The 11,895-nt window shown below is 40.2% G+C and overlaps 1 long non-coding RNA gene across 2 annotated transcripts in view; it reads right to left on the reverse strand.

Moving 5' to 3' along the window:
* Nucleotides 1-7,832: 7,832 nt before the first annotated feature.
* The window catches only part of LOC105369715 (uncharacterized), a 182,759-nt gene continuing 178,696 nt past the window's right edge, over nt 7,833-11,895 (reverse strand). The window contains exons 5-6 of one of the 2 annotated variants that reach the window (XR_001749060.1): nt 10,336-10,443; nt 7,833-7,973 (exon numbers count right to left, since the gene is read on the reverse strand). This is a non-coding gene — a long non-coding RNA (uncharacterized LOC105369715). The remainder of the gene's footprint in view (nt 7,974-10,335; nt 10,444-11,895) is intronic. The other variant, XR_931474.1, reaches the window with a different exon arrangement.

Below are 11,895 nucleotides of genomic sequence, written 5' to 3' on the forward strand. Positions count from 1 at the left end.
AGTTTGTCTTTGAGTGTTATGTCTTTGAGTATTATGTTTCTGAGTGTTAAATTATGAGGGTGGAACCCATAATTCACAATGTCAGGCTCATTAAAGAAATATTCTTTTTGTTGTTCATTTTGTTTTTGTCACTCTAGTCACAGTGAGACCATCTGGCATACTGTTGGTGGCTATGAACATGCATTTAAGACCCTTGAGAGAAGACAGAACATGAGGGAGATCACAGTGATGACCCAAGAGGACATTACAAGAAGACTGGAATACGCTCCTTGGCCAAGGCCCCCATGAACAAAATGAACTGAAATAAGCAAAGAAAGATAATGGTTAATGGCTAGAACAAACTGTAAGCTCAGTCTAAGTCCAGAAGGCAGTTAGTTGATAAGACTTCTAGATTTGAGCTAAAAGCATATTTTCTGTTTTGCAGTCTGAATGTCTCTGTCTATGGCATCTAGCATTTCAGTGAACTCTCTGATTGGCCCACAAATAAGAGGTTATGGATGTTGTCTTATGAAATTTATATCTATCACTAGTTTGTAGGGCTTCAGGAACAGAGTAGTTTATGGATAGCAAGTCTCAAAGACAATGAGCAGGACTAGAATTTGATAATGGGTACAGTATAGTTTCCACTGAAACATTAATTTTCTCTCCTACAGCTGCCTCCCATTTCGATCAAAGATAATCAAAATAAAACCAGTTTGTTTGCAAAATAGGACCAGTCTCATTAAGCTTGGCCTGATTATTTACAAAATTACAGTGAAAATAATGATTGACTGTATAGAATTTTTTTAGATATGCTTTGATAGAACTTTTAATAAGGAATCCCAGATTGAACTTTTAAATGCCTTTCCAGTCTAAGAAGCCAAGCCAAGAACTTACTATCAGACTTTGCCTGTAATTCCTATAAATTTGAGTGAATTTCTCTCTTCTTGAGGTCCTCAAAATATTTTTAATCTTCCTAGTTCTTCCTTATTCAATCTGTAAGGCTGGGAAACCCTTAAAGCCAGGTACTAGGCCAATTTTTTTCCAAGGGGCTTTATTGGGTCCATAAAGTCCACCTTAGTTCCTTAAAGTTGTCTGGTCATATCTGAACATATGATAATCATAATCCTGTCTAAACATTGGTAATATTCCCAGTGGTTCCAATTGTGTCCTGTTACAAAGACTGCTGATTGTCCCAGATCCAAGTTGAGACAGTCAGTAAAAAAGTTTAACTCCTAGAATTGATTGGAACAGGGTGGGGACCTCACTCAAATTTGATCAATTGGAGTCCTTCTTGAATGCTTTGAATCTCACCTGGGAGAGCAAGTTCCAGTTAATTCTGATGACAGTATTATATGATGTAAGGCCATGAATGAAGAGCTAGCAACAGCCATATTTCCCAGTGATGGAGAATGTAGGCTGACTGAAAGCTGCTATTTTCATGAGTGTGTCCCATGATCAACTGCAGTCCTTGGCACATAGTATTCAATAAATACTTATAGAATGGATGGTGCCGGCTGTTTATGTCATGTCCATTGTGTGCAGAACACTACAGCAGGCATTATGAAAAAGAAACCAAATAAATTAAAATGGGAACTAATATAGAGTAAAATATTCAATAATTAGGTACTGATTGTTTTCTCCACATTCTGATGAAGAAACAGAGGCATAGCTGGGTAGGTAACTTGCCTGTATTTATACAGGTGTTAAATGGCAGAGTGTGAATCACGGACGTATACTCAGGTCTATCTGGCTCCAGAGTCTATGCTTTTTTCACTGCACCATGGTTTCTGTCTTCTCAAAGCTTACTTGTTTATTGGGAAGATAAACCATACACCCTTTAATTAACTTGAGAACTGGGTATGCCTTCTGGATGTTCACTGATCAAACAGATATTGAAGTTTAGGGTAAAGCTTTCATGAAAAGTTGTCATGTCCCAAGGCCTACCACAGTTGCAGACTGTTAATCAGATTTAGGTTTAGGTGATTGGCTTAGGCAGTGCTAATTAATAAGGTCTGCTGAAAAATATAACTATAAACAGAAATGTCTGACTGTGATACAAAAAGAAAGTAATGCAATATATCTCAGCATTTGTTCAGAGTTTGCTGTTTCTCTGATGGCCAGAAAAAATGATCATGATCATTATAGTTGGGGTTTCTGGCAAATCTGTCACTACATTTCTCTCTGGAACAAATTATGTTTTTTTGTGTGTGTGTCGTGTGGTCTAACTTTACTTCATTACCAACCTTTGCAGATAACATGTGTTTGTGTTTATTTCTGTCTCATTACAAATTCAGTTCAATTTACATTCAAATAATTTTCAGGTTTTCCGTCTTCTGCTGTGGCTTTAGCCATAATGCATGAGAAAAAAAGGCTGAGTAGTGGCTTGCAAAGAATCAACTTCAGAGGAGAAGCAGTTGCTTTAATCCTAACACCAGAGGAAAAAAGTGGGGGACGTGCTCAGGGTCCCTGTTTTCCAGGCTTCCTCAAGGGAAGTGGGGTTTGGGGTTGGGAGAATAAAAGGGGTTGTTAGTCTAGTTCTTGGATTGTTGTTTATGTCAATCAGGTTTCCCCGATTGCAAGCAACAGAACCAACTCTGACTATCACACAGGAAAGAAATATGTTGGTAGGACTGAGGGAAGCTTTTAAAATAAGCAGAGAGGTAGAGAGGGAGCTTTAGGAAGAGAAAGGAGCCAGGACAACCTCAAGAGTCCAGCATAGCAAAGACTGAACATCAACTGGTATTTTTTGTTGTTGTTTTTTTCCTGTCTTTGCAACACTGGCATCAAGATTCAGAATTCTGGGAAAAACTCCAATAGTTCTGTTTGAGTCACTTTCTCACTCTTGGCTAGGTGAGCAGGGCACTTTTATTTAAAAGATGATTGGTGTCATCAAAGAAGAGAATAGATGCTGCCCAGTAGGAAAGTGATCAGCATCTGCTACATTCCCTCTCTAACCCATAATGACCCAGCTGGAAGCCACTGTTTCCAGGGGGCATCTTCTAGAGACCAGAGCCTGTGATGCTGATCCTGCAGTTAGGAACTCCTGCTATGCGTTTTCCTTTGCATGTAGATCTGAGATGTCCTAAGGACCCTTTGTATCTCTCACAATCCTGTGGCTTTCCTGATTCTATAAAATAAGAGGAAAGATCTCTGAGTTTCCCTTTCTTCTGTAAGCAATGGAAGCTACTCATTCTGTCATTTGTAGGTGGCCAGTAATTTCAAGTTTTCTATTCTATTCACCTGCTATAGGAAACCTGCATGTGATGGGATAGGTCTATGTAGCTGTACACCAAGCACATATCCACTCAATCCAATAAAGGATACAGCTTTAAATTGGTATTCAAGATGTGCAGTAATTGTGCCCTAATGAACTGAAGATGGGGATTAAAAGCCTCTCTGCAGATATCACAGACACTCTACTAAACACAGTAGTGTTTTGCTTAGAGCTCAAATTTTTCAACCTCTCTGCAACATTTGACATTGTTGACAATTTTTCTCTTTGAAATTGTTTTCCTTCTTGGTCCTAATATATCTGTTTTCTCCTACCTTTCTGGTAGGGTCTTCCCGATCTTTTGTACTTATTCATGCATTTGGCATGTTCTAAATAAAAGAGAATAATAATGTTTGATTATGGTTTTGAGTATGGTTCTCAGTAGAAATAGTGAGTATCCCAATAGGAGGCAGAAGACAGTTGGGGGACCTTGGGGTTAGCTAATGTTCAGAAGTCTTGGCAAACAGATGTTGGTCTCTTATGGTTTACCATTGGGTACTAGGTCTTCTTTTGCCAGGAGAAAGATAAACAGAAAGTCTCCAATACCATGAAAAGATCACAACAAGGCACAGAGGCAGGATAAGACTGAGGCTGTAAGCAAATTCCTGAAGCAGGAAATAGAATCAAGGCAGGAACTCAGGTATTTTGCGGTGCCTGGAGGACACTGGGTTTTGGAAATGAGGTGATTCCTGGAATGGGTAAGAGCGACTTGCCATACAAATACAGAACAGCTTAGATGCCTTCTTCCTCAGAACCCTCAGATGAAAGAAAGGGGGGCAGAATAAATAAGAGGGAGTGATTTGGATAAAGATAATAGAATAATTTTATAAAATCTGAAACTGACACAAAGCTGCAAAGGACAGAGACAGATACATGATCCAAACTTGCGTGCAGGCAGTTTTGGTCAAAAGTGTCCATTGTTTAATTATTGACATAGCATGGCTTAGCAACAGCCTTCATGACAAAGATGTTGGGGATTTAATTAATGGCAAGCTCAACATAGATTACAATTGTATTTTGACTTTCCGAAAATGTTAATTCAACCATCAATTGCATTAATGAAAGTAGAATACCTTAAAAAATAGGCCGGGCGTGGTGGCTCTTGCTTGTAATCCCAGCACTTTGGGAGGCCAAGGCAAGTGGATCACCTGAAGTCAGGAATTTGAGATCAGCCTGGCCAGCATGGTGAAACCCTGCCTCTACTAAAAACACACACAAAAAAATTAGCTGGGTGTGGTGGTGTATGCCTGTAATCCCAGCTACTAGAGAGGCTGAGGCAGGAGAATTGCCTGAACCCAGGAGGCAGAGGTTGCAGTGTGCCAAGATCGTGCCACTGCACTCCAGCCTGGGTGACAGAGCAAGACTCCATCTCAGAAAAAAGAAAAAAAAAGAAACCCTAAAACAAAAATAAACAAAACAGAGATGACATCTCTGCTGTACTTTATATGGGTCAAATCCTAGTCAGTATTGCATTGAGTTCTGATTTTGGATGAACATAAGAAAAAAACTGACACATGCAAGGGAAGTTAACCAGGAGAGTGAGGATTTCTTAAAACAACATTGCACAAAAAATTGAGGAAATTAGGGGCTTTTAATCAGAGAAAAGAGCAGATGCAAGGGTAATAATAGCTGTCTTCAAATATTTGTGGAGTTGTCATATGGAAGAAGAATTAAATTTATTCTATGTTGTTTAATCTATCTATAGGTAAGAAATGTATGGAATTTTCAAGGAAGCAGAATGTACAGAATTTTCCATTCGATATCAGAAAGAATTTTCAAAGCATAAATATCCATGAGATGAGTTGGTCAGGAGGACAGCAATTTATATCACTAATGCTGTTCAACATAAATATTTGAGTATTGCTTGGGTATATCTGGAATATCTTCGTTGTAACAGAAAACCAAGTCAGGCTAGCTAGCTCAAGCACAGAATACAAATTATAAGCTTATTAATTGACTCAAACGTTTCTCAAGCTCCTACCATAAACTATGCCCTGTTCTAGGTATTGGGGCAGTTAGCAAGACACACACACAAAATTAAATATCTCTGGCCTCAGGTGGGATATATTCTAGTGGGAGAAACAGACAAAAGGTACCAGGATGCAGTATACATTTTTCAGTTTGTAGAATGCCCAATGCCAAGCACTCAGATAGAAGGGCAGTTGGGGGCTGGAATCAAATCTGACCTCTCTAGCCAAGCCTGGAATCCCAGTGGGCTGTATTGTCAGCCTGGAGAAAAGTCACAGTTTTATAATTTGTAGCAAAGCATGAAATGTGCTGATGGTGGTCCCAAGATAAAATAATAAAATACACAGCATGTTAGATCATGACAGTGCTGTGAGGAAAGCTAAAGCATGGGGGAGGATGGATTGACTCTGGAAGGGCTCACTGGAGAGATGACCACTGAGTAAAGACCTGGAAGATATGAAGTTAGAGAGCTAAGGGGCAGAAGAGGGTCCATGGCATGGGGCCCTGTGCACCATGGCAATGAGTTCAATTTTTACTCTTGAATTAAACGGGAGACCATGGAGATATGGCGTGATCTGAGTTACATTCTGAGAGCATCATCTTGGCTGCCTGGCTGAGAACAGTGAGGAGAAGCAACAACAGAGGCAGTCTGTGTAAGAGGCTATGGAAGTGACCCAGGGAGGTGATTGTGGATGAGACTAGGAAACAGCAACACAGACATTCTGGCTATATTTTGAAAATAAAGCTAACAGGATATACCAATAGATTAAATGTATAACTCATTTAACTAGGAAGACCACGAGTGGAACAGGCATCAGGCATAGCTCAATCCAGGAGCTAAAACAATAAAGTCAGGACCCTATCTCTGTTTCTTTTGCAGACGGCTCACTATCTACAGCAAGTAGGATGCTCACAGAATACTTTACACTAGGCTGGGTGTGGTGGCTCCTGCCTGTAACCAATGCACTTTGGGAAGCTGAGGCAGGAGGATTGCTTGAGCCCAGGAGTTTGAGGCCAGCCTGAGCAACATAGTGGGACCCTGTCTCTACAAAAGTAATAATAAAAAAATTATCCAGGCATGGTAGTGTGTACCTGTAGTCCCACCTACTTGGGAGGCTGAGGTAGAAGGACCACTTGAGCCTGGGAGGTTGAGGCTGCAGTGAGCTAGTATCACACCACTGCACTCTTGTCTGGGTGACACAGACCCTGTCTCAAAAAGACAAAAAAAAAAAAAAAAAAAAAAAAAACAGAATACTTTACACTCATATTCCACTTGGTTAAAGAGAACATCTTTTCCCATGGCCCTGCCAGGTAGTCTCATAGTTATGTTTTGTCTTTATCGCCGGGTCAACAATAATGGCCAGGTTTGGGTTATATGCCCACTCCCTGTAAGAGTGGGAGGGTGGGTGGGGTCAGGCAGTGTCAGCTCCAATCAAACTTCAAGGAACATCAACACTTCCTGACTAGTCCAGAGCCAAGCCATAAGATGAGAACAGACTATGGAAAGTGGTAAATAAGCTATGCCCAGCATGGAGTGAAGATGTATCAGTCTATAATTTCCATTAAAGATTTTCTTTTCTTTTTATAAACAGGAGAGTTTCCCAGGGAGAATATTTTGAGGGTCTGTGTATTAGTTTCCTATTGCTGCTGTAACATATTATCACAAATTTAGTGACAACACAAATTTATTAGCTTATAGTTCTGAAGGTCAGAAGTCTGACACTGTCTGATATGGTTTGGATTTGTGTCTCTGCTCAAATCTCATGTCGAATTAGAGGAGAGGCCTAGTGGGAGGTGATTGGATCATGGGGGTGGATTTCCTCCTTGCTGTTCTCGTGATAGTGAGTGAGTTCTCATGCGATCTGATGGTTTTAAAGTGTAGGCACTTCCTCTTTCGCTATCTCTCTTTCCTGCTCTGCCATGTTAAGATGTCCCTGCTTCCCTTTCACCTTCTGCCATAATGGTAAGTTTCCCGAGGCCTCCCAGTCATGTTTCCTGTTAAGCCTATGGAACTGTGAATCAATTAAATCTCTTTTCTTTATAAATTACCCAGTCTCCGGTAATTCTTTATAGCTGTGTGACACTGGACTAATACACTGTCTTACCGGGTTAAATCAACGTATCAGTATCAGCAAGGTCTCCCTTCCAGAGGCACTAGGGGAAAGTCTTCCTTTTTGTTTTCCAGCTTCTAGAAGCTGCTTGCATTAATCAGCTTATTGCCTCTTCTTCCATCTTCAAAGTCATCAGAGTAACATCTTCAAATCTCTCTCTCTCTCTGATCTCCTGTCTCCTTCTTTTACCTTTTAAATCCCCTTGTGGTTACATTGGACACACTCAGATAATCCAGAATTATCCACTCATCTCAAATATTTAACCTAATCAAACTCACAGAGTCCCCTTTGCCATGTGAGGTAAAATATTTTCAGGTTCTGTGGATTAGCACTTGGACACCTTTGGGAGCCATATCCTGCCTATCACAGCATGCCATGTGCATAGCACATTTTGAAGTCAGTTGCTACATCCACTATTCCTTTTTTAGGATTGTAAAAATATTCACAAAATAATGTATTCCTGATAATGTAGCCACACTTACTCACCTAGGAGAGAGGCTCCTGGCCAAAGGTTGACCATCCAAACGACTGCTTCTAGAGTTCTTCCCGATGGAAATATTTTACCTGAGAGGGAGTGTTGTCAAACCAATCAGATCCTTTCATTTGGAATGCTTGAATTGAAGACATACCAAGAGTATGGCCTGTTAGGAGAGTGGTAAAGATGTAAAAATACAGGAAGTGAAAGCAGTAAATAAAAGCCATGAATTTTATTTACTGATAAAGAGAAGAGGAGACAGCCAGCTATGGGTAGTCCAAGAGAAAGACAAAGCAGGAAAGAAGGGACCAGAGACGCAAGAGCACAGTCAGGGATGCAGTGGACTTCTACACCTGGGGTTGGCCTCCTGCTGACCCCCAACCTGCAACAGCGGCTGTTGGACCATTAGATCTACCCGACTGCAACTAAACAGTTACAAATGAGGGTGCTAGTTCTCTACGTATACAGCAGCTTGGGGTTTTTTTTTTCTTCTTTTCATCTATGCCCACAATAAGCGTCCATGAACTGAGGTAGCCTGACTGTATCTCTCTTCCCAATAATCTGGAAGAATGTGACAGAAGGATAAGGCATGCAATCAGTCCAGTTAAGGCATTCAACGAGACACCTGTATCAGCCTGCAAACAATACAGATTATCTCCTTAAAATTTCACTACCACTTTCCCAATAAAGTTCCTCTCCATGTAAACTCTCTCTAGGACTTAAAATAATATTTATTTATTTATTTATGTATTTGTTTATTTATTTATTTATTTTTGAGATGGAGTCTAACTCTGTCACCCAGGCTGGAGTGCAGTGGCGCCATCTCAGTTCAATGCAACTCCGCCTCCCTGGTTCAAGCAATTTTCCTGCCTCAGCCTATTAAGTAGCTGGGGTTACAGGCACATGCCACCATGCCCGGCTAATTTTTGTATTTTTAGTAGACACAGGGCTTCACCATGTTGGCCAGGCTGTTCTCGAACTCCTGACCTCAAGTGATCCACCTGCCTCGGCCTCCCAAAATGCTGGGATTACAGGCATGAGCCACGGTGACCGGCCTAAAAGAAAATTCTTAAATGACCACATAGTAGCACCAAGGCTGCTGATGCTGCTTGGTTGTTTAGGGTGAAAATTCTGCCACCAGCCACACTAAGAACTACATTAGAACAGAGAGGAAGACAATGAAATTTTAAAAGGTGAGGGTTTTTGCATATCGAGGAAAAAAAAGAAATGAGCATTAAGGACTTGAGTAACATTCTTTGTGCATGTATGTGTGTCTTTATGTGCAAATATTTTTAAGTTAGAATCTAAAGCCTGTTGTCTTCAACAGAGGCCATGGAAGCAAGATGAGGGGTCTGGAATGAGGCCAGCAGAATTTGTAACCCCACCTTCTTAAGCCAAAACAATACTGACAGGCATAAAATTGGTATTTATGAGGTTATAAGTCTTAAAAGAGTATGTTGTATATACAAAGAAAAATGCCACCCACGAAGCTAATTCTTTTCCATGTCTGAATTCAGGCTGAAAATCTCTAGGGTAAGAAAGTCAATGTTGCTGGTTTTCAAGTTGTAGTTAACTTTTGGCCAGAGTTGGATAACCACCCTTTTTAGGCAGCAGTTTTTAATCTTTTTTAAAGTTGTAGCCCTCTTTGAATATTTTGTGTAACCCTCTCCTCTGAAAAGTAAGGTTACATGAAAAATTTTGCCTAAAATTTCAAGGAGCTTATCATTTCCTTGAACTACCATGGGCTCAAATTAGCAAAACAAAAGAAAAACTCTAAAATATAAAATGTAAGTGTGTATGCCTAGGTTATTCTACAGGTAAGCTAACTTCCATAGATACTATTTTCTGTAGCCTTATATTTGTTTTCCATTTCCTAAAGCTGCTTATAAGCATTTATAGATCTTTGCATAATTTGTGCATTTAGAGAGGATTTCTAAAAGGACACAACTGGAGGTGCCCTGGTCAGAAATGATTTAAAGAATGCTTCTTAAGAAGGAGGGTGGAGGAATGCTGAATAGGAATCAAATCTGTTTTGTTTTCTATATTTTCCTCTTGGCTATCCCAGCAGGAAGCCTGCCCAATCTAGTTCATCTTCGTTGCTTCATTTTCATAAAAACATTGAAAGTTAAATACTTGAGATCATTTATTCCAATACTTCTCAAACTTTTGTGCATCAGAACCATTTGGAAGGCTTGCTTAAATGCAAATTTTTAAGGTCGATCCTCAGAATATCTGATTGCAATCAGTCTGGAGTGAGGCCCAATAATTTGCCTTTCTAACGAGCTGCCAGGTGATCCTGATGCTGCAACTCCTAGGACTATGTTTGAAAGGTGCCGATTTCATCTGTTTTAAAGATGAGGGACTGAGACCTGCTCAGATTTCTGCTGCTTTCCCCCATTTTCTGTTCTACCCTCAAGATGGACAGATTCAGTTAACCTTTGTTGCTACCTTCAAAACTATTATCATTGAATGAGATGAGGTTATCAAATGCACCAAGCTCATTTCCATCTCAAGGACTTTGTACTTACAGCTGCTTTAGCCAAAAAAATCCTCTGTTCTTATCATCTTATGACTTTCTTCTTTTCTTTGTTGAGATCACTGCTCAAATTCTCCAGACTCTGCCTTTCCTGACCACCCTGTATAAAATAGATCCTATCACTCTTGATTTTCACACATCACATTCATTTTATTTTCAGTCTTTATGTCAACATGAGTCATGTGCTTATTGGTTAATTATCTATGGTTATCTATGGACATAGCTCTATGAGGACAGAGATTAGGCTTGTTCCCTGCTGTGACTCTAGCCCCTAGAACTGGGCCTGGAATATAGTGAGTTCTCAGTAAATACTTTTTGAAAGAATTGATGAATAAAAGTGCTTTCTTTCTTTCCTTTTTTTTTTTTTTTTTTTTTTTTTTTGAGACTGAGTCTTGCTCTGTCGCCCAGGCTGGAGTCCAATGGCGCAATCTCAGCTCACTGCAACCTCTGTCTCCTGGGTTCAAGCGATTCTCCTGCCTCAGCCTCCTGAGTAGCTAGGATTACAGGTGCTCACCACCACGCCCGGCTAAGTATTTTTTTGTATTTTTAGTAGAGATGGGGTTTCACCATGTTGGTCAGGCTGGTCTCGAACTCCTCGTAATCCACCCTCCTTGGCCTCCCAAAGTGTTGGGATTACAGGTGTGAGCCACTGCGCCCAGCGAAAGTGCATTTTTATAGTATATCTTATTCTGCTTTACATCCACTTGGCCTTCCTTGAATTTATAACTTCTCATACAATTTTAGTAAAAATTTTCCAGCCTTCTTTTTCAGTAGTTACTGTAACAATAAAATTAGGTAACAGTGTTTAAACACAAAGGAAGAGAAAAAACATTTATTTTAATGCAATACAAACTTGGCTCATTAGTTGAAGTGATTGGGAGACTACAGTCATCAGAGAAGACCACAAATGAGAGGAGTGATCTCTTTAGAGAACTAGAAGAAATTGGTATCTCACTAGCTGATTGCTTTCATTCATTATTGCAGTAAGTATATATTTATGGATGACTTGCTACATGTTAAGTGCCATTCTAAGCTACGGATACAGAAAATAAAAAAGAAATCACTGCTTTTGGAGAACTTTCATAGTACTAGAAGAAAGGTGGAGAAAAACGTACAATATAAAATATATGGTATACTATTAGGAAACAAGGGCTTTGAGGGAAAGAATGTGGAAGAAGGAATAAAGAGTGTACATGTGTGTGTATGTGTGCATGCGTGCATATGCATGGGTGTGTGTACAATTTTAAGTAGGATAGCCAGGAAAGACCTCACTGAGAAGGTGACATTACGAGAAGACTTAAGTGAGGGAAGGGGAAGAGCCATGTAGCTATCTTGGAGAACAGTATTCTGGGAAGGGAGTAAAATGTGCAAAGGCCCTGAGGCAGAACTATACCAATGGTGTGGAGGGAGCATGGAAGAGGCCAGAGTGGCTGGGGCTGACTGCAAAAGGGTGTAACAAGTAGGAGGTGAGGTTGGAGAGGGTGGGTCTGGACTGTGCCCTTTAGGCACAGTAAGAATGTGGAGCCACTGATGTGTTCTGGAGTTAGAACTT

This window comes from Homo sapiens, chromosome 12 (genome assembly GCF_000001405.40).
Source record: "Homo sapiens chromosome 12, GRCh38.p14 Primary Assembly".
Lineage (NCBI taxonomy): Eukaryota > Metazoa > Chordata > Mammalia > Primates > Hominidae > Homo > Homo sapiens.